Here is a 22,922-nt window from a genome sequence, read left to right on the forward strand (position 1 = left end):
GGGTCTGCCTTTTCCAGTCCACTGGCTCAAATGTTAATCTCTTTTGGCCACACCCTCACAGAAACAGTCAGGAATAATACTTTACATCCTTCAATTCAATCAAGTTGACAGTATTAACCATCACAGTGACCTTCTTTGTCTTTTTTTATAGTTTTTGTCTTGAAATCTATTTTGTCTGATATTAGTATAGCTACTCCTGCTCTTTTTTGGTTTCTATTTGCATGGAATATTTTTTCCATCTCTTTATTTTCAGCCTATATGTGTCTTTGTAGATGAAGTATGTTTCTTGCAGGCAACGAATTGTTGGATCTTATTTTGTAACCTATTCAGCCACTCAACATCTTTTGTTTGGAGAGTTTAGTTTATTTACATTCAATGTTATCATTGTTAAGTAAGGACTTACTTCTGCCATTTTGTTACTTTTTTTTCTGGTTGTTTCATGGTCTTCTTTCTTCTTTTCTTCTTTCCTGTCTTCCTTTTAGTGAAGGTGATTTTCTCTGATGACATGTTTTAATTTATTGCTTTTTATATTTCGTGTTATCTGTTGTAAGTTTCCAAATATGAAGTTACGATGAGGCTTGCAAATAATATCTTATAACCTGTTGTTTTAAACTGATGACAACTTAACAGTGATTGCATAAACAAACTAACAAGTAAAGAGAAAACTGATAAAAACTCTACACTTTAACATCATGCCCCTACTTTTAACTTTTTGTTGTTTCTACTTATATCTTATTGTACTATGTCTTGAAAAGTTGTAATTATTATTTTTGATCAGTTCATCTTTTAGTCTTCCCACTCAAGATATGAGTAGCTTACACACCACAATTACAGTGTTTTGATATTCTGTCTTTTTGTGTACTTACTATTACTAGTGAGTTTTGTGCCTTCGGATAATTTCTTATTTTTTATTAAGGTGCTTTTCTTTCAGATTAAAGAACTCCCTTTAGCTTTCTCATAGGATAGGTCTGGTGTTGATGAAATCTCTCAGCTTTTGTTTGTCTGGGAAAGTCTTGAATTCTCCTTCATGTTTGAATAATATTTTCACCAGACATACTATTCTGCAATAAAAGTTCTTTTTCCTTTGGCACTTTCAATATATTATGTCACTCTTTCCTGGCCTGCAAGGCTTCCACTGAGAAGTCTGCTGCTAGGCATATTGAAGCTCCACTATATGTTATTTGTTTCTTTTCTCTTCCTACTTTTAGAATCCTTTCTTTATTATTGACCTTTGGGAGTTTGATTATTGAATGTCTTGAGTTAATGTTATTTGGGTCAAATCTGCTCAGTAACCTTCTTGCACTTGAATATTGATATCTTTCTCTTGGTTTGGGAAGTTTTCTGTTATTATCCCTTTGAATAAACTTTCTACCCTCATCTCTCGATTTTCTCTTGAAGGCCCAAAACTCTTAGATTTGCCCTTTTGAAGTTATTTTCTTGATATCGTAGGCATACTTTCATTCTCTTCTATTCTTCTTCCTTTTGTCTCCTATAACTGTGTATTTTCAAATAGCCTGTCTTCAAACTCACTAATTCTTTCTTCTGCTTGATTAATTCCACTATTAACAGATTCTGATGTGTTCTTCAGTATTTCACTTGCAGTTTTTAACTCCAGAATTTCTACTGGATTCTTTTAAATTATTTCAATCTCTTTGTTAAATTTATCTGATAGGATTCTGAATTCCTCTCTGTGTTCTCTTGAATTTCTTTGAGTTTCCTCAAAACAGCCATTTTGAATTATCTGTCTGAAAGGTCACACATCTGTGTCTCTCTGGGATTAGTCACCGGTGACTTATTTAGTTCATTTGGTGAGGTCATATTTCCTGAATGGTCTTGATGCTTGTGGATGTTCATTGGAGTCTGGGTTTGTTTGCACCCTTCCTTCCTGGGAAGGCTTTCTAGGTATTCAAAGGAACTTGGGTGTTGTGATTTAGTTTTTGGTGACTGCAGCTGTATCTGCATTAGGGGGCACCCCAAGTCCAGTAACACTGTGGCTCCTGCAGACTTGAAGAGATACCACCCTATGGTCTTAGATAAGATCTAGAAGAATCCTCTGGATTATCAGACATAGACTCTTATTCTCTTCCTTTTCTTTCTCCAAAACAAGCAGTCTCTCTCTCCTCTCCTCTCCTCTCCTCTCCTCTTCTCTCTCCCTTTCTCTCTCTCTCTCCTTCTCTCTCTGTTTGTGCTGAGCTGCCTGGAGCTGGAAGAAGGGTGACACAAGTATCCCTGTGGCCACCATCACTGAGACTGTGCTGCGTCAGACCTGAAGCCAGCACAGCACCAGGTGTCACCAAAGGCCTGTGGTAACCACTGTCTGGCTACCAGCTATGTTCGCTCAAGGCCCTAAGGCTCTAGAGTCAGCAGGTGGCAATGCCAGCCAGGCTTGTATCCATTACTTCAGGGTGCCAAGTTTCCACCAGTCCTGGGCAGGTCCAGAGATGTCACCTGGGAGCCAGGGCCTGGGGTAAGAAACTTTAGGAATCTACCTGGTGCTCTATTTTACTCCAGCTGAGCTGGCACCCAAGCCCAAGGCAATGTCTTTCCCACTCTTCCCTCTCCTTTCCTCAAGCAGAGGTGTCTCTTCCCTTGGTCACCACTGCCCCAGGCCCATGGTCAATACTGCCTGGCTACTGCTGATGTTCATTCATGGATCAAGGGCTCTTGAGTCAGCTTATGAATGCTGCTAAGCATAGGACTCTCCTTTCTAGGCAGTGGGCTCCACTATGGCCACTAGGGCAGGTCCAGAAATGCCATACAAGAGCTAAACCCTGGAATTGGGGACCCCAAGAGCCCACTTGGTTCTCTACCGCACTGAGGCCACACCGGTACCTAAGCTGCAAGACAAAGTCCCCTTTATCCTTCCTTCAACTTTTCTCAAGCAGAAGGAGCCCCTTCCCATAGCCACCACAGCTGGAAAGGTGCTTGGTGACATCTGAAGCCAACATGTCTCTTAGTCTCACCCAAGGCCAATGGCAAGTACTGCTTGGGTTCTATTGCAAATTATTGAGGGCCCTTGGGCTCTAGAGAGAGCAGGTGATGAATGCTGCCAGGACTGGGTCATTCCCTTCAAACCAATGGGTTCCCTTCTGGCCCAGGGTGTCTAGAAATGTTGTCTGGGAGCTAGGGCCTGAAATGGGGGACTCAGGACTCTGTCTTATGCCCTATCCTACTGTGGCTGAGCTTGTCTTATGCCCTGTCCTACTGTGGCTGAGCTGATATCCAAGTTGCAATACACAGTCCTGTTTACTCTTCCTGCTCCTCTCCTCCAACCACAGAAAGGAGTCTTTTTCAAAGCTGCAAGCTGTGATGCCTGGTGTTGGCAGAGGGATGATGCAAGCACTCCCTTGGCTGCACCAGCTGGTGTCTCACTAGATCATATGCTCAAGTCCACTGGCTTCAAGCCCAGCACAGCATCAGGAATCCCCCCTAGAATTGCAGTCCTTGTGTCCTAGACAGACTTTTAAAAGTTTATTTAGGACCCCAGAGCACTTTAACCCATGGTCGTGAGTCTTTTTGGAATTCAGGTTCCAACCACTGGGATGTGTAATTCCTCTCTGGCGAGGGCTGGTCTAAATGCTCCTTCTGTGGGTGCTGGCTGAGTTCTGCCTGGTGTTGTTTCTCCCTGTGACAGGGCAGCACTGCGTTCCAATGCAAAGCCCCACAATGACTGCACTCTCCCTCCCGCAAGTGCAGAGATTCTCTCTCTGTTCCATGCGGCAGCTGCCGGGTGATGAGGGAGGGGTGGTGTCAGCAATTCAAGACTGTCTTTCTTACCTTCTTCAGTGCCTCTTTCAGTGATATGAAGTTAAAACCAGGTATTGTGATCACTCATTGGATGTTTGGTTGTTATGAGGGTGCTTTTTTTGTGTGGACAGTTGTTCAATCTGGTGTTTTTGCAGGAAGACAATCAGTGAAGGCTTCTATTCAGCCATCTTGCTTCACCTCCCTTGGTAATCTCATATTTAATGAGTGCTAAGTACTTTGAGCTCACTGTGCTTTTAAATTTTGTTTTACTTCTGACTGCTTAAAAATTTCCCCCATCTCTGGCAGGGAAGTGGCTCATGCCTGTAATCCCAGCACTTTGGGAGGCCAAGGTGGGCGGATCATGAGGTCAGGAGTTTGAGATCAGCCTGGCCAACATAGTGAAACCCTGTCTCTACCAAAAATACAAAAATTAGCTGGACATGGTGGCACGTGCTTGTAGTCCCAGCTACTCGGGAGGCTGAGGCAGGAGAATCACTTGAACCCAGGAGGCAGAGGTTGTAGTGAGCCTAGACTGCGCCATTGCACTCCAGCCTGGGTGACAAGAATGAGACTCTGTCTGAAAAAAAAAAAAAAATTCCCCCATCTCTTGAAGCCAGCAATGCAAAACAAATATCATTTAAGCAAGACCTAGTTGTTTTGAAACAGGAAGACCTCTCAAACATCTAGTCTCAAGTATTTAGCAGAGAAGTTCCACATATCACTTTTTACCTGTTGCAATCTGGCTTTAACCCCTACTACATGTCTGAAACTACTTATGCCAAGTCACTCAATGTTTTCATTGTTGCCAAATTTAACATGCACTTTTAACTTCATTTCATATGTGAGCCCCCTGCCCTTGTAGTCCCGAATGCTCCCTTTTTCTTGAAACTCTCTTGTTCTTTTGATTGTGTGATATAGTTATCTCCTATATATTCTCCTATCTTGCTGGCTGTGCCTTTTAAGCCTTCTTGGTGAAGTCCTTTTAAATTTTCTACACATACTGATGCCTCAGAAATCTATCTGCAGCTTTCTTCACCTTCTACTTTGTATACTTTCCTGAAATAATTTCATCAACTGCTAGGCTCAGTACCCTGAATTCCCCCCCATCGTGTCTTGCACTTCCAAGCTTTTATACATGCTTCTCCCTCTGCTTGGAGTGTGTCCTCTCATACTTTTAAAAACCAGATTAACTAACAAGTCTTTCTAAGAAAGACTCAACTCAGGTCTGTTCTCCTCCAAGATGCCTTTGCTGACATCTAATCTACATGCTCCCAGAGCACCTTGTATCTACTTCTGCCATTGCATTTTACACACTATATTGTAATCTGTTTACTGATCTGTCTTCCTGACATAGTTATGCTGTATCAGCAGTGTCTAGCACAGGGCCTAGTCCATGGTAGGTAAACAAATGTTTGTCGAATAAATAAAAGAACACCTGAATAAGTAAATGAATGAACGGGTAAGTGATTTTGGAACGGACAATTTGGGGTTTGGAAAGAGGGTAAAGGAGGTGAAAGGAGAAGAAGAGAAATGACTGGTATATTTAAGCAGCTTGTTTTGTTACCCTTGTTTATGTGGAATAAAGTTGTCATTTCATTTCATCAAAAGTTTATTGAGCATCCAGTATGTGCTAGGCACTCTGCTGGATGCTAGTAATACAAAGATGAAGATGAAAACAACACAAAAACAAACCCCACTTCCTTACTTACCCCTCCCCACCCCCAATTTAAGGCAGATTTGGCTTAAGCCTGGCAAGCTGGCCCCTCAGGGATTCAGCACCAGGGTATGGCATGTTCTCATCTCACCCTAACCTTCACCTGTGCATCTCAAGGCTGACCAGCAGGTACTCCTTATCCAAGTCCTGCTGCCTCTTCCACCTTCTTGAGAAACTTTTCCCCTACATGCATTATCTCATTATGGATGAGGCACCTGGGAAGTTTAGGGGAGCTGCGAAGGCACACCTGCTCAAATGAGCCTGGGGAAGTGCCGAGGGACAGGGAGCTGAGACAGGCATGCTGTGGGGTTCAGGGCAGAGGGGGCAAACTAGAAATGTCAGTGCCTTTGGGGCTGAGACAAAACTTGACCTGGTGTGGAGGTGATGGGTAACTGGGGCCTTGGAATTGCTCCATGGGTTGATGGCGAATCAGAGCTGGAGTTTAGGAGACTAGGGATGCAAGGACCCTTGGAGGCATTAAGGAGGAGGGAATGGAATACACAGAGGGCCTCCTTCTCTTTCAGCTTTTTAATTGCCCTCTCTCCTCACACAGTAGATTACTGCCACTCCTATGAACTGTTCAATAGGCGGTGGCATGGGCATGTCCTGGCTACACAGCGGCCCAGCCTCTTTATTTTGATGTTAGTGTGATTAGGGAGTCTGCCCTTTTTCTGTGCCCTGGGACCTGAGCATGTGGGAGCAGGGCAGATGGGTGGCAGGAGGCCAGGGGTTGGATCATGTTCCCCCCAAATGCTGGGAAGCAATAAGCCTCCTCCTCCCCCCACCATTTCTCTGGAGATTAGGACTTATTCTCACAGCTGGAGGAAGCTCAACAACTTTCCTGAGGACAATGATTGTTTGAAAGGCTTGTTTTGTAAGGAAGCCAGGAGGAATATATGAGTTTGATGAGCTAAAACAGTTCCTCATTTGGTCTAGTTTTCGGGCCAGGGGAGTAAGTGAAATTCACTTCTCTATAAGAATAAGCCCATCCATCTCTTTTATTCATGAACAGAGACAGAAAGAGTGCTTGGCATGGCATGCCTCCGAGGGAGGCTGTGGGAGGAGGCCAAGCTGGCAGGCTCGGGTTCTTTGCCCTTGCTAGCGCCCAGGTCAGAGGGAAAAGGAATGTACTCGTACCCTTCCCTCACCACCTTGTAGGTCCCCAGGTACCAGGTGCCCAGGGAAGAAGGCCTTCACAATGATCCCCCCAGCTCAGAACAGCCCCTGCACACCCAGTAACCGGCATCTGGCTTCTCCTTAGCTTAGTGCAGCTGTGGATTCTGGGAAAGTGGCCTCTCTAATCTGAACTTGCAAAAAAAAAAAAAAAAAAAAAAAAAAAAAAAGTGCCCCAGCACTCAGGCATTTGTTCAGAGGGAAGGGTGGTGGGTGGGAAACAACACAGCTCCCTAGGAAGAGCACAGGATAGTCACGGGGGTTAGGTTACTGATGTTAGTTTCCATAAAACCCTTTTGGGTATTGGGCCAGAAATGTAATAATCTATGTGGTCCTAAGAGGGCACAACCTATACCAAGTGAGGACACAGCCAGTAAACCGGAAGCAAATGCGACCCGGTTTCACCATATCAACACTGCCGCCTCCGCGCACCCGCCTCCGTCTGCGCATGCTCATACACGTTCACACCCGAGACACCAGCGCCCCCCCGGGACCTCCCCTCGTCCCCAGCGCGCCGCGCCCGGGCTTCCCAGCCCCAGCTTTCCCCCGGGCCACTGGCCGCAGACCGCGGGCGCCTCTCAGGGGATCCCGAGGCGGCTCAGGCGCTGATCTCCACCGGGCCGGCCTCGTCTTGCTCGCGGATTATGTGCACGCCCGCAGTCCGCAGTGTGCGCGAGGCGCTGCGCGAGCGGCCGGGCGAGCTCGGGGCCCTGGGCGGCGACGAGTGTGTCCGGCCGGTGGCTGGGGAGCGCGCTGGGGAGCGCGGGTAGCGGCGGGCAGAGCGGATGGGCAGCCCCGGCGAGCGGCCGGGCACGGCGGGAGACACGGAGTAGCCGGGCGGGCCGGGCTCCGTCGCGCTTCGAGGCTCCGGGGCCGGGTTCTCCTCGGTCTCCGGGGAGTCCTGCAAGGACACGCGCCGCAGGGGTCAGGGGACAGTCAGCCCAGCCTGGGAGCGCGCCTGGTGTTAGAGCTTGCTGGAATTCCGAGGGGAGGGACCTAGTTTCCCTCTGCACGCCCACCTCCTGGAAGGCTGCAGACAGGTCTGGTTTTCCTGGCGATATTCCACACTGAGCATGGGGCCTCCTAGCACATAATAGGTGTTAAGTAAATGTTGAAATGCGATGATTTGAGTGCTTTTCCCCTTTACTCTCCTCTTTCCACCCGTCGTGGACAGCCTGGGACAGTTAGTTGTGGAATACTGGGGAAATCACCAGAACTGGTGTCCAAAGACCTAGGTTTGAAACCTAGATCTGCCACTCATTGACTTGTTTAATCCTGAGCAAGTCATTTAATCTCACAGCCTTGTTTTTTCTAATCTCTAAAATGTGCATGACACAAATATTTCACAGGGTTATTCTGAGTACTATAAAGCAGGGGTCCCCACCCCCAGGCCGAGGACTGGTACTGGTCCATAGCCTGTTAGGAAGGGAGCGGCAGAGCAGGAGGTGAGCGGTAGGCCAGAGAGCAAAGCTTCATATGTATTTACAGACATGCCCCATGGCTTGCATTATCGCCTGAGCTCCGCCTCCTGTCAGATTCGTGGCTGCATTCGATTCTCGATTCTCGTAGGAGCACACACCCTATTGTGAATTGAGCATGCGAGGGATCTAGGTTGCACGCTCTTTAAGAGAATCCAATGCCTGATGATCTGAAGTGGAACAGTTTCATCCTGAAACCACCCGCATCACCATCCATGGAAAAATTTTCTTCCTTGAAACCAGTCCCTGGTGCCAAAACCGTTGGGGACTGCTGCTATAAAGGGATAGGAATATAGTATGGCTCCCTAGCATCAGGCATGTGGGAGGGGATCACTGCATGTTTCTGGGCACCCAGTCCAGAGCCGCTCACCTTGTCCTTCAGGATATAGAGTGCCATGGGGTTCTTCCGTTCCTGCTCACCACTTCGAGGGAGGGTGTCTGCTGCACAGGGGAGAGAAGCGGGTGGCTGGCCCAGGTACAGACTCTCCCCACCAGCCGGCACCTACTCTCTGTGCTTCCCGAATGGCCCGCCACAACCTCCACCAACATATCTGAATATCCTGGCTCCTACCTTGGCCAAACCTTTCCCTCCTCTGCAGTCTTCGTGCAGTTGGTGGGGGAAGGGTCCCTGCAGAGCTGTTTTCCTTGTCGCCCAGTTCTGCCTTTTCCCAGCAGCCCACTGATCTGATTGTTGATGGGATGGGTGATTGGGTGGCTGGGAGCTCACCTTCTGGTTTCAGGCGGTCATCATTCTGATCCATGTATTCCAGGGAGTTTTGCTTTTCTAGCTTCTTCTGTTTCCTGTGAATCAATTCAGCCCCACTATGAGCCGAATTATTGAATGTGAGTAGAAGATCCAGTGGGGACACAGGGAGGGATCTGATGGCCATAAAAGAGGCCTTGTGACAGGAAGATGGGCTGGGTACAGTTCATGAGCTTTGGAAGGAATCACATCTAGGTTTGCACCTTGAGTCTGTCACTAGCGTTGTGACTGTGGGCAAGTCATTTAACCAATCCGAGTCTCAGTGTCATTATCTGTAAACTACAGATAATCATACTTAAAAGGTAGCAGGCTAACCACAGCCACAGTGCCTGGTCCCAAAAAAGGTGGTTGGCCAGTGAAAAAACCTATTGTTACTGGTGCTGGGGTTGTGGGGGCTTTGGAGCACAAGATGCTGGTGCATACACAATGGAAGAATGGATCTCTCGGAAAGAGATGCAAAACCCTGGGAGGAAAGGCATTTAAAGAGACTTAAGAAAATAATGGGGCTTAGGTTTGGGATGGATTGAAGGACTCAGGTGCTCAGGAGAGTTACCCAGACCTTTTGGAGGGTTTCCAGCAGGCACAGACTGTCACCAAGGTCACAAGGAGGAAGATGCCTCCTGTAGACAAGATGATGTAAAGGGAGCTTCTTCCTAGGGAGAGAGAGAAGCAGAGAGGCAGGAGGGACTTCAAAGGGGCAAGATGTGGTGAGCAGAACTTCCTGCCATGGATGGAAGAGAGGGGGAGCCCCAGGCTGCATGCCTGGCTGATGCTGGTGGTGGAGCTTGTACAGAACCCACTGGCTACCTGTTGGTGTCCTCCATGGATAGTTGGCCCATCTCTGTTCCCCTCCCCCCAGTGACATTTCTTTGGGATGTCCTCAGTCCCTCATGGTCACCTGCCTCTTGGGGCTTTGAGTACTAAAGGAAAGCCTGCGGGGAAACTCACTGTATACGGTGATCTTGACAGGCAGGCTGCGGCCCTGGCTGATGGGGTTCTCCACCATGCAGCTGTACAGGTCGTCATCCTCCATGAGCACGCGGGTGATGGTGAGCACCTTTTGGTCGGGGGACAGGAGCATTCTCGAGTCATTGAGGAGGGGCTTGCCATCCTTCAGCCAGGTGTAGCTGGGCTTGGTGCCATTCTCATGTGAGCAGTTCAAGGTGAAGGCCTCGCTGAGCTCCAGCACAGTGGTTGAAGCCACCAACACCTGTGGCCTCGAAATGGGCACTGAGCCGCAGGAATGGGGGAGCCTGTAAGTCATTGGCTAAGAAGTGTCTCCCTTCCCCTTTTTAGCTCCCTGCCTTCCAACACACCTTTAACACTACCTTCCAACTCAATCTGTGGGCTGAGAAGACTTCAGACATCCTAAGTCCAGTTCTTTCCCATCGCTTATTCATTCGTTTCACTGACTATTTATGGAGCACCAATTAGGCATGGCGGGTACAATGCTGAACAATGCAGACATGGTGTTGCCCTCATTCCCTCTTTCCAAATGCCTTGCCATGAACCCTGGGCTTTAATGTCTTAAACTGACCCAGCCAGGAAGATATTTCAGTTGGGCTAAGCCTAGGTCCAACTGTTTAGGTTCAAATCTTGGCTCTATCACTTCTAGCTGTGTGACCTTGGGCAAGTTATTCAACCTTTCAGTGGCTCACTTTCCTCATCTGCAAAATTAGGATAATGATATGAACTATCACCAGACTATTATAAGCATTAAATGAGTCAACATATGCAAAGCACTTAGAATAGTTTCTGGCACATGGCAATCACTCTACATGTTAGCTGTGCTGTGCCTGTCTGCCAACTTCTAATGTCCACTTGCCTCATTCTCAGCTCCCAAGTGCCTTTTGGGTTGGTTTTCCCTCAGTCTAGCTGGTGCGCTGGGCAGACCTTTCCCTAGTCCCACCTGCCAGTCTTGCCTCTTTCCCTGCCAGAGCGCTTTACCATCTACAGTAAGGTTGATGGTCTTCTCCCCAGTGAAGGTGTCGTCGGTGATGGAGATCTCGACCTCATAGGTGCCCTCATCGGCCAGCTGCAGGTCGCTGAGAAGCAGGGAGCCATTTTCAAAGAGTCGGATACGGTCTCGATAGTCAGGCCGCAGGGTGCCGATGACCTCTGTGCCAATGGACTGCACCACGGTCACTGGCTTGTCCCGCTTCAGCTGCCACTTCACTACAGGCCTGTCGCTGCTGGTACTGCTGTACTGCACAGAAAGCAGAGCCGACTTCCCCACGGTGCCATGGATCAGGCGCACGGGGCTGGTGATGTTCACCCCCTCCAGGGGGTCTGTGAACAGAGGCCCATGAGGAAGAGGGAAGCATCAGGCCCTGGGCTCCTTAGCCCACTCCCAACTTTAAGCCCTCTGATCTCCCAAAGCTTCGCCTCTCTGGCTCTTCACTCCCTGCCAATCCTGGCTTCTTAAGCCTGGGTGCTATCTCCTCCCCCACAGTAGCTCTGTGCACTTCTGCCCCTTTGTTCTCTCTCACAGCCATCTCATGGCCTTCAATGCTTTTTCCACCTAGCCCTCTGCCTCTCTGGCACTTTGTCTATTGCCTTTCTCTTGTGGCTCACCCACACCCTATGCGCTCCATTCATAAAAATATTTATTGAACATCTCCTATCTGCCAGACACTTTTCTATGTCTTTAGGATATAGCAATGAGCAAAGCCAACAAAAATCCCTACCCCTATGAAGCTTATAGGTCATTAGACCTCTGGGTGAATTTGTCAGATCTTCTTGATTGGGGATTGGGAGGGTGAGGAGATGGAGAAAGCATGGAACACAGATTCACAAAGAAAGGAGCGGGTCGTGAGACAGTGCCAGTAAAGGGAAAGTTTAGGGGCCTGAAGACCACTTTCTAGTTATACCGAGAGCCTCTTCCCGTTTTTTTTGCAGATGCATGTAGCATCTTACTAGGCTCACTCAGTGCAGAATAGTCCTGCAACTAGTAAGGTGGTTTTGGGAATTCACCCAAACTCCAGCCCAATCTGTACCCCTAGAAGAAGGATTTGCGATGGGTAGAACAAAGAGCTTAGAATCAGAAAAAGCTTTTTCATGCTGGGCTCTACCTCTTACTGGCTATGTGGATTTGGGTACTCATTCTTCTCATTTGTAAAATAAGGATAATAATAACAAGGCTGGGCGCGGTGGCTCACGCCTGTAATCGCAGCACTTTGGGAGGCCAAGATGGGCAGATCACCTGAGGTCAGGAGTTCGAGACCAGCCTGGCCAACATGGCAAAACCCCGTCTCTACTAAAAATAAAAAAAATTAGCCAGGCATTGTGGCATGTGTCTGTAATCCCAGCTACTCGGGAGGCTGAGACATGAGAATCGCTTGAACCCAGGAGGCAGAGGTTGCAGTGAGCTGAGATAGTGCTGCTGCATTTGAACCTGGGTGACAGAGGAAGACTCCATCTCAAAAAAATAAAAAATAAAAAAATAACAACAGCAACTGCCTTATCAAGTTCACAGGATTGGAAAGTACAATATGCATATTAGTCATTGTCATACAGCAGACAGAACACAAAATTGAGCAGAGTTTTGGGCCTTATTATTGATACATGACTTAGGAGGGTCCCATCTCCTTGGAGCTCAGATTCCCTACAGATAAAAGGAGTAGTAGGCTAGATGGTCTCATTGGTTTGTTCCAGCCTTGTAATTCTGGGATTTTACCACTTGTCCAATGGATGCCCTATCCAGAGGGCATTTCAGAGACCTCTTAGGAGCTTTGGGATCTGAAAAGATGCTGTTATTTGGTGTCACCTGGCCTTGTAGAGCAATCCAACCACCCGAAGGAGGGTCTTCTGGAGAGGACGCCGGTTGGGAGCAGGGCTGAGTTTAGCTGAATAGACACATACATGCAGATTCTCAGTCCCTCTGCACCCCTTGCCGCTTCCTTTGATGGATTCCCTCTGAAGCTCCCTCATTCTTTCTGAGCCTTATTTCTCACTCTGCTGCTGCTGCCATTCAGTTGAGGAAACTGAGCTGTACCTTTTCATTCCTTATTTCTCTCCTCATGCTTGGAGGGCCCAGACCAAACCAAGAGGCAATTAAACGAAAAGGTTGGTGGTGAAGAACAAAGCAAAAAAAAAATTTTTTTTTTGAGACGGAGTCTTGTTCTGTTACCCAGGCTGGAGTGCAGTGGCACAATCTCAGCTCACTGCAAGCTCCGCCTCCCAGGTTCACGCCATTCTCCTGCCTCAGCCTCCTCAGTAGCTGAGATTACAGGCGCCCGCCACCACGCCCGGCCAATTTTTTTGTATTTTTTAGTAGAGACGGGGTTTCAGCGTGTTAGCCAGGATGGTGTCAATCTCCTGACCTTGTGATCTGCCCGCCTCAGCCTCCCAAAGTGCTGGGATTACAGGCATGAGCCACTGCGTGGTTACTAAACATATTAGATCCATTTTTGGAAAAAGTGCTTTGCTAAGTAGTGAGCTCCTCATCTTTGGAAATGACCAAGGAAAGGCCAACTGGCTACTTTTACACCTTGCTGGGCCTCAGCTTCCTCCTCTGTATAATGAAGTAGCAGGACCAGAAGATCTCTAGGGGGGCTTCTTAACTCTGACTTTTTTTTTTTTTGACAAGGTCTCACTCTGTTACCCAGACTGAAGTGCAGTGGGGCGATCTTGGCTAACTGCAACCTCTGCCTCCCAGGATCCAGCGATCCTCCCACCTCAGCCTTCCAAGTAGCTGGGACCACAGGCATGTGCCACTATGCCCAGCTAGGTTTTTTTTTTTTGTTTTTTTTTTTTTGTATTTTTTTGTAGAAACGGGATTTCACCTTGTTGCCCAGGTGGCTGGTCTTGAACTCCTGAGCTCAAGCAATCCACCCGTGTTGGCCTCCCAAAGTGCTGGGATTACAGGCGTGGGCCATTCATACCTGGCCTTAGCTCTGACATTCTATGATTCATTACTTGCCAGGAATGTTAGAACCATAAAACCTTAAAAGTAGAAGAAACAGGCCGGGCATGGTGGCACACACCTGTAATCCTAGCTACTCTGGAGACTGAAGCAGGAAAATCGCTTGAACCTGGGAAGTGGAGGTTGCAGTGAGCTGAGATTGCACCACTGCACTCCAGGCTGGGTGACAGAGCAAGACTCTCTCTCAAAAAATAAATAAATAAGTAAATTAATTAATTAAAGCAGAAGAGACAGCTCTACTGATTAAAGCTGAATGTGTGAATATCATATGCTTGCTGTTGAACAAAAATCTTAATTTGGGGCAAGTAAAATGAACAACATAAACTATTTTCAGACTTTTAAAAATTAATGATACTTTCTTCCCACAAAATCTTAAATAAAAATGGAAAAAGGCAATATGGTTCCATCTCACCTGCTTTGGTAGAAGAGGTGGTGGGGATGAGTCCTATCCCCCCTCAATAACCCAAGGAGCAACTGGGAATCCCTACTGGCTCTGCGCATCAGACTAAAGTCCATTTGGCCACATGATCCTTAAGGTTTCTTCCAATTCTTAATTTCTGTGATTATCAACTGCTAGGTCCAAGGCATGGCTTGATTTAGAAAACCAAACTTTCGAATTTCCCTGAGTAGGCAAATAGGCTTTGGTATGGATAACAAGAGGTGGCCCTGAAAAAGTCATGAGCTTTATTAAAGGCCACTGGGGTGATGATCAAATAGCTGGGGAACATCTACCCCCTTTCTCGGGACCCAGTGTGCAGTAGTATGCTATGCACGCAAGGGTTACATGTGCAGAGCCATGCTGGAGTTTAGTAAATTGGTATGTGAAAGGAAAATAAATCTTGGGGCCCCAAAATCACTAAGCTAAAGGGAAAATCAAGCTGGGCACTGCTTATGACAAACCTGCCTCCCATTCTATGCAAAGTCACCCCTCTGCTCACTGAGATAAATGCATACCTGATTGCCTCCTTTGGAAAGACTAATCAAAAAAAGAAACTCAAAATAATGCAACCATTTGTCTCTTATCTGCCTATGACCTGGAAGCCCTCTCCCGACTTAAGAGTTGTCCCATCTTTCCGGACCGAACCAACATTCATCTTACATATGTTGATTGATGTCTAATGTCTTCCTAAAATGTATGAAACCAAACTATGCTCTGACCACCTTGGGCACATGTCATCAGGACCCCCTGAGGCTGTGTCACAGGTGTGCATCCTCAACTTTGGCAAAATAAACTTTGTAAATTAACTGACACCTGTCTGAGATATTTGGGGTTCACAGGTGTAATGTCCCCAAGCACCAAACTTTGAGGATTCTCATTTCCTTCTTCTGGGAGTCTGGACAGTGACAACCTCAAAAACAAGTGGAAGGGATTTCCCCTCTCCCTTCTATCTTCTGTGGCCTCCTGGAGCTTCCCTGGCTTCCATGCTCTCCTATCCCATCCAAAGTCCTAGTAGCCTTTTTGCTATGTATTTCTCCCTGAAGCCTTTCTGCCAATTTAAAGTTGATTTGTTCTGGATAAAAATATTGGAGAAGTTATGGCCTACAGATTGCCTGAGGCCTTACCCTCCTCTAGATAAGTCCCCTCATCATGCCTATGAACATGGGCATGTCCGTGGGCCAAAAGGATGTATCACACGTGTTCATAAGTGAATGAAGGAGTCTTTCTTGAAAGCTGACAGAGAGAGCAGTTTGCTGAGCAAACAGTTTCCCAAAAACTCTAGCCAAAATCGTACTCTGTATTAAGTTCAGGGTTCCACAACTTTCAAGGGACACAGAGAACTGGGACAGGAGCCAAAGCACGACACAGAAATGAGGAAATAGCTCACAACTAAGGTCCAGAGTGGAAATAAAAGGACTAGGACCACTCAACCTTGAGAAGTGATTAACTTAATTATTGTCTCCAAGGCATCATAATATAGAAAGTTTCTCTTCCCACCAGAGGCTGAAGAAAAGGAAATGAGATCTCAGCAAGTTGTACCCTATCAACCTCAACAATGCGGTACTGGGATAGATCGGTGGCCACTCCTCAAGTAGGATTTTGAGCTGCTGCGATGCCGGGAATGTCAAACTTTAGGGTATAAGAATGCACCTGCAGATAGCCTTGGCTTTTCTTAATAGGGTCATCCCTTAGAGAAATCACCATCCACTCATTTTTATGTGCTCCCTTTGCTGGGCCAAAGTTTCCTTTCGCCAGTATTTGTCTTAAATTTACCTTTTAAAAGTGTCAATGGGGGTAGTGCCAAATATGTGTTCTAGGATTTGGTCTATACACACCTTATCCATATTCCCTAACACCAAAGGCTGCTGCCATGTCCCTTTTCATCTGAAAAGTTTTTGGTTTAGTTTGGGTCTGTCACCATAAAAAAGTCTCTTCATTCTTTTGGCCGTCATAGATACCCTTCCTTGGGCTTTCTTCAACTGTGTTATTTCCTTTTATGGTGTGGTAGCCAGAACTGCATCTAATAATCCAAGGGCAGAACACCTCAGTTTCCTAAAAGGAAAACATATTGTTTCTGCTTTTGGTTTTTAATATTATTCCTAATTAATGAGGGTTTGAGAAAACCACCCCGCTCCTCTGCTGTTACTCTATAGGTGCATCACTTATTGTGTGGATGTTGGGGCTGCCGTGTTGTATTCTTACATTTTTATCCTGTTGAGGCCTACAAGTCATTTGAAGCGCCAGTTATTCAGGGATGTGAGAGAAAATCAGGAAACAGAAGCTGTGAAGAAGGCTTTTGGGATCCAGGAAGAAAGGAGCTGGTAGCTTTTTATCTACAATCTAAGGAGTGTAGATGTTCAGGAATGCGTACCTAGTTAATAGGTATTAAGATGGCACACAGAGAGTTACTATGTTTGTGGACTGGAAAAATCACTCTTGTTAAGCTGTCAATTCTCCTAAACTGATTTATAATTTAATACAATGCCAATCAAAATCCCAGGAGGTTTACTTTGTGATCTTGACATGAAGATAGACAAATAGATCAACAGAAAGTCTGAAAACAGACTTAAATATGATTGCTCAAATGATGACAAAGGTGATACTGCAGTGCAGGGAGAAAAGTGCTTTTCACAAAATAGTGCTGGGCCATGTAGGATAAAAACGAATTGACCCTTACCTCACACCTTACACAAATATTAATTTTGGATGGATTGCAGATCTAAATATGAAAGGTAAAACAACAACATTTGAAAAAGAAAACAGACTATGTCCTTGACTTGAGGGCAGACACAGATCTCTTATAAAGGACACGAAAGTGGTAACCATCAAAGAAGGAAATGATACTTTAGACTCAGTAAAATTAAGAGCTTCTATTCATCAAAAGATACCATTGTGAAAGCGAAAGGCAAACCATAAAGTGGGAGGAGATATTTGCAATACATATATCCTATAAAAGGCTCATATGCAAAATATATTATTTAAACTCCCACAAGTTCACAATTTTAAAGAAATTCAAACAACACAATAGGAAAATGGGCAATTAATTTTAATGGAAATACAATTTTAAACTTCTTTTTTTTCAGTGACAAGGTGTCACCCTATTGCCCAGGCTGGACTGCAGTGGTGTGATCATACCTCACTGCAGCCTCAAACTCCTGGGCTCAAGAGATTCTCTTGTCTCAACCTCCCAAGTAGCTGGGACTACAGGAACACACCACCACACTCAGCTAATTAAAAAAAAATTATAGAGAAGAGATCTTACTACATTGCCCAGGCTGGTCTTGAACTCCTGGCCTCAAGCAATCTTTATGCCTTGGCATCTTAAAGTGCTGGAATTACAGATGTGAGCCATCACACCAACCTTAAACCAGAATCTGATACCAGTTCATACCCAATAGGATGGCCAAAAGGAAAAAAAGAAAATACAATTATTGGGAAGATATGGATCATCTGAAACTCTCATACATGTTGATAGGAGTGTAAACTGATACATTCATTTTTGAAAACCGTTTGGCCATGTCTATGAACACTAAACACACAAATACCCTATAATTAAGCAATTCTACTCCTAGATGTATCCCCAAAAGAAATGCCCATATCTGTTCTCCAAAAGACATGTACTATAATAGGATGTATAACAGTAACAACTCTGTTCATAAAGCCCCGATGGGGCTAAGTTGGTTGGATTGGTTTGGAAACAACCAAAGTGTCTATCAAAGTTGAATAGAGCAATAAATTGTGGCATATTCATACAATGGAATACTATACAGCAGTGAGACCAAATAAACTACGACAACTTAGATGAATCCTACAAACTTGGTGTTCAGACATAGAAGACTGAATACATATGATACCACTTATAGAAAGACATGCAAAATTAATTTTTATTAGAAGTTAGGATACCACTATAATCCCAGTGGGAAGGCAGCAGTAACTGAGATAGTATGAGGGTGATTCTGAGGTGCCAAAATATGCTGTTTCTTGATCTGAGGGTTGATTACATGGGTTTGTTAACTTTTTAAAGGCTCACCAAACTGTATCTTTAGGCTAAATGTACCTTCTTGTATGTAATTTTTAATAAACAATTTAAAAAATGACAGCACCTACAATGTGGGGGTGAACTTGGGGCTAAAGAGCATGGAACCCAGGTAAGAGACTTGTTTCTATTGGGTCCCTAGAGGATGGAATAGTTCTTGTATTCCAGAGAATACAACCTTGAAAATAAACTTACCTACATTTACGGCATGCTGTGCCTATGTCTGTCAGTTAATGTCCTGGTCTCCAGAAAATTTTTATTTGAATGTTTCATAAATTGGAATTTAAAAATTGGGAAATAAAAATGATGAATTTAGAGAAGCTTCATTTGTCCATGTCAGGGGCAGAGTATTAAAGACTGTGTAGCTCCATGACGCCTCAGGGCTAGCTTGGTGGTGTCTGCCATAGTATAAGATTAAGGTAAATCTTGGGGAGGCAGGGCCACATGGTCCAGTCTCCCCTTGAGTGCCAATCCTAAAAACTACATTTCCCAGCCAGCTTCCCTTGTTGTTAAGTATGGCCATGTGACTGAGTCGTAGCAAAGAGAACTAGTGCAAGTGATACGTATCACTTACAGACCTTGTTTGGCAAAGTCTTCCTTTTATGTTTCTCCATTAAAAAAATAAAATAAAATTCTCTACCTGGAAGAAAAGAAGATACACCTCATGGTGATCTTTGGAAGCACATGTCAAAGTTGATAGGGCTCCATTGGCTTGGTCCCTGAAAAACTTCATAGAGTAGAGTCCTTCCTCTTCCCAGGCCTAGTCTGAAACTACAATGGGCTATCACATAGTTACTGCCAGGAACTTAAATTTTGGAATTTATTGGTCCCAGAAGCAAACATTTTCCTAAATAATATATTAGGGATGGCAGGGATTCCTTCTAGAATCTCAGCTCTTATTACTCTTTAGTCCACAGCAGTACAATGGCCTCTCCCAGCACTTACCTCTTATCTATCATAGGTCATTAACTAATATCCTATTAGCATAACTTACATTATAATTTTTTTTTTTGAGAAAGGTTCTTGGTGTTACCCAGGCTGAAGTGCAGTGACGTGATCATGGCTCACTGCAGCCTTGACCTCCCTGGTTCAAGCAATCCTCCCACCTCAGCCTCCTGAGTAGCTGGAATTACAAGCGTGCACCACTAGGTCTGGCTAATTTTTTCATTTTTGTAGAGATGGGGTTTCGCCATGTTCCTCAGGCTGGTCTCGAACTCCTGGGCTCAAGCAATCCAACTGCCTAGGCCTCCCAAAGTTCTGAGATTACAAGCATGAGCCACCGCTCCCGGCCACATTTAGAATGTTTTGGTGTATTTACTAAGTTACATTTTTCCACATAGAATATCCTTGATCACCTTTTGTTTTGTCCCAGTCTTACTGACCGACGTGATCTTTCTATAATTTTTTTCCTTACCATTTGATGACCGGAAAGAGTTTAGGGCCATCTCTGCTTTGTATATTTGTGTCGTTCCTATTCTCAACTCACTGTCTCCATACCTTCAGCTCTCATTATTTCTTCAGCTCATTGTCATTTCACCAAAGCCAACAGTAACCTCTTAATTGCCTTATCCAATGGGCTCTTTTGGGTCTTTGTCACATTGGATCTCTTTGACAACTTCAATGGTATTGATCTACTCCTGAAAACTCTCAACTCCCTTGATTTTCTGGACAGCACCACAGGCTTCTAGTCCTTCTGTCTCTCTGGCTGTTCTCTCTTTGTCTCCTTAATGGGCATTTCTTCCTCTGCTTCCTCTACAAATCTTGAGGTTACATGATGTTTCATTTTCATCCCACGTTTTTCCCTTCCTAAGTAATATTATCTATTCTTATTGTTTTAACTCTCACCTATGGGCTAACGGCTGCCAAATACCTCTCTCCAACCCTGACCTCTCTGCCACCCAACTCCAGGCTATGTGACATCTTCACACGGAAGCCTCATAAGTATTTCAATCTAAACATGTATGATACTCATTTTTTTTGTTTAAGGTTTCACACAGCAATCCTCCTTCCCTTCCTAAATCCTCCTACTTCCTACAGGTCACTAGCTCCTGACTTTACCTCTAAAATATTTTCTCAACATGCCTCATTCCTTCTATCTTTATTATAATTTCAGTCCATGTTATTTCTCCTATTTCTCTCTTGATCTATTGCAATAGCTTTTTGACCTGTGTTCCCCTCAAATTCATACGTTGGAGTCCTAACCCCCAAGTACCTCAGAATGTGAACTTATTTGGCAATGGGGTCACTGCAGATCTAATAAGAAGGGATCATACTGGAGTAGGATGGACCTAATCTAGTATGTGTCCTTATAAAAAGGGGAAATGTGGACATAGACATGCAAACACGGGGAATGCCATACCAAGACTGGAGTGATGCTGCCACAAGTCAAGGAATTACCAGAAGCTAGGAGAGAACCCTAAGGCAGAGCCCTCCCTAGAAGCTTCAGAGAGAGCATGGCCCTGCTGACACCTCGATCTCCCACTTCTGGCTTCCACGACTTTGAGATAATGCATTTCTGTTGTTTAAGCCACTCAGTTTGTGGTATTTTGTTATAGGAGCCCTAGAAAATGAATACAAACTTCCTTTCTTATTTTATTTGCCTCCAGTTTCCCCTCGAATGACCCCCTGCAGACTGAGTAAGCTATCTGAAAGGTACATGTAACCCTGACAGTCCCCAAATTAAAAACCGCTCATTCCCTCACCTCTCAATCCCCAGATTACGAGTCTGGTTTACAAAGCTCTTGCCTCACTCAATTCATGCTTTTCTCTCCAGCAGTGATGAACTGCTGGGCTCTGACTAAACACTTGATGTTATTTCAAGCTGTTGACCTTTGCTCATTTCCCAACCCTAACACCCACTTATACTCCTACCTTTTTTCCCCATCTTTTAAAATTCAGTGCACACATTCCTTCTACCAGAAAACCTCCCCCTGATATTCCCACACCCTGTGTCCTACCCTACCAACACCCCCTCCACCAGCACCAGCTTCCTGGATGGGGTAGGTGACCTTTCTCTGATTGCTATGCATTCTCTGCATAATTGACTTATGATAGTTCCTGCAGTTTAGTAAAATGATCTCCACATCTGTTTGCCTCACTAAGTTGTGAATTCCTAGGTGCTCTGTAATTGTGTGTGTGTGTGTGTGTGTATATGTGTATGTACTCATAAATAGGTATATTTAAATAAGATCACTTCTCAAAGGATTGGTAGGGGGCGGTAGAGGAGGTAAGCAGCTATGGAGTGGAGTGAATTATGGATAGGTGGGTATGACTATCCCACATTAGGAGGCTCATTATCTCCAAAGCTTCTTTCATCTGCCTTACTCTTTTACACACAGAGAAGCCAGAGTCGGGGGCTGGGGAGGTATAAAAAGAAAATTTCCCCTACCCCTACCCATCAAGCCCCACCACAATCCCTTGGAAAGAATGCCAGACTGGCCCACGCCAACAAGTCATCCCATACGAAATGGCCCAGTGCCCGCCATCTAATGTACTGAATGCCGTGGGAGCTCCAAAGTCATGCAGCCTTTTGGGGGAAGGGGGTAGGGGCCGCGCGGGAGGCACACAAAATAAAGAAATACGTTCAACGCTAATGCCTGAATTCCCTGACATGTTTCCCACGGCAGCTGAACTCTCCCCCACTCCTGCCCCAAAGGCATTCAGGCCCTCCACTCTCCCCTCCGTCTGCTGTAAAAGCCCCGGGTCCTTTCTTCAGACCCTTTCTTACCCTCTGGCCTCCTACCTGTCTGGATCAGAAGAAGGTAGACAAAAGGAGCAAGGCGCAGGGCCCTGGAGGCTCTGGACAGGGCTCCCCTTTCTCTCTTCATTTTGGGTGGCGTTCTCCAGCTCTAGTGCAGACAATTAGCATGATTTCTCCACTCTGGGCACGTCCCCTTTGTACCACTCGGAGTTTCTCTGCCCGAACACAACCCTGCCAACTTCCCTCTGAATACACAGAGCTCTGTGTATTGCTGGACTTGTTCTTTCCTCTCCCTCAGACCTGGCATTTTCTAGTTTCCAAGCCCTACATCCCCAGTTTGGAAGCAGGTATCTGCTTAGGAGATAATCTCCAACTCAGGTTCCAACATGGGGGGCACCGGCAGCCCAGCAGTTGGTTGCTTGTCTGTGCTGAGCCTCACTACCCAGGGAGATGAGGATCTGGGCTCAGAGCACTGAGCTGGGACACACACTTAACTGGACTTTGTGTCCCAACCTACCCTGTCTCCACCTAACACTCCTTCTCCCTGAGGAGGAGGGTACATGCCAGGACAGACCTCCAATAAGCTCTGAAAAGGGAGGGAGAAGAGATTTTAAAAAGCTGGGAAGTGAAAGACTCCAGACAACTGCTGAAGAAATGGAAAACCCCTGTTCCATCCCAAAGGAAGAAGACTGGAAAACAGCTTGAATTCTATTATTGTTACACTTGTCTTTCCGTGGCTTGGAATTTTCTCTTCTATCATAGAATCACATAGATGCTGGACACCTCTTTCCAGAAGCCACTCTGTTCATTCCCCTGCTTTCAGGCAATTTTCTAGAACATGTCTGAGCAAAATGAAGGTCATCTCCTAACAGCCAGCATCCTAGGGTTCTGTTACCAGCTTAACAGCCTAGCTGTGCCCTCCTGTTTTGAGGCTGTGAAGAGGAGAAA

General features: G+C 45.7%; 2 protein-coding genes and 1 long non-coding RNA gene across 5 annotated transcripts in view; 2 read left to right on the forward strand and 1 right to left on the reverse strand.

The window, feature by feature from the left end:
* Positions 1-22,922, forward strand: part of LOC107984406 (uncharacterized) — a 51,792-nt gene that overhangs the window by 22,107 nt on the left and 6,763 nt on the right. The gene's annotated exons all lie outside the window — the stretch shown is intronic.
* On the reverse strand, positions 5,300-22,142 carry HEPACAM (hepatic and glial cell adhesion molecule). Of its 3 annotated transcripts, none has more exons than NM_001441320.1 (7): positions 22,017-22,142; positions 10,823-11,164; positions 9,824-10,105; positions 9,435-9,528; positions 8,840-8,913; positions 8,483-8,550; positions 5,300-7,535 (listed from the first exon to the last, which is right to left on the reverse strand). In NM_001441320.1, the coding sequence occupies exons 1-7, from the start codon at positions 22,099-22,101 to the stop codon at positions 7,233-7,235; spliced, it is 1,248 nt and encodes a 415-aa protein (NP_001428249.1). In that variant the 5' UTR covers positions 22,102-22,142; the 3' UTR covers positions 5,300-7,232. The 3 variants fall into 3 exon arrangements, with proteins under 3 accessions (NP_001428249.1, NP_689935.2, NP_001397972.1); NM_152722.5 differs by having other exon boundaries at positions 8,483-8,553; NM_001411043.1 differs by having other exon boundaries at positions 8,483-8,553; positions 8,684-8,913.
* HEPN1 (hepatocellular carcinoma, down-regulated 1) lies at positions 5,345-6,772 on the forward strand. Its single transcript, NM_001037558.4, has one exon. It carries the CDS (start codon positions 5,846-5,848, stop codon positions 6,110-6,112), a length of 267 nt encoding a protein of 88 aa, NP_001032647.2. The 5' UTR covers positions 5,345-5,845; the 3' UTR covers positions 6,113-6,772.

Source organism: Homo sapiens, chromosome 11 (assembly GCF_000001405.40).
Source record: "Homo sapiens chromosome 11, GRCh38.p14 Primary Assembly".
Lineage (NCBI taxonomy): Eukaryota > Metazoa > Chordata > Mammalia > Primates > Hominidae > Homo > Homo sapiens.

Bases quoted from the DNA above. Each gene is read 5' to 3' on its own strand.
- HEPACAM (NM_001411043.1), bottom strand. From the start codon at position 22,101: ATGAAGAGAGAAAGGGGAGCCCTGTCCAGAGCCTCCAGGGCCCTGCGC. The intron at 10,106-10,822 runs GTAAAGCGCTCT...CCTGCGGCTCAG, and splicing joins CATCAACCTTACTGTAGATG to TGCCCATTTCGAGGCCACAG. The intron at 8,554-8,683 runs GTAGGAGCCAGG...TCCCCTGTGCAG, and splicing joins GAGGGAAAGGTTTGGCCAAG to CAGACACCCTCCCTCGAAGT.
- HEPN1 (NM_001037558.4), top strand. From the start codon at position 5,846: ATGGGTAACTGGGGCCTTGGAATTGCTCCATGGGTTGATGGCGAATCA.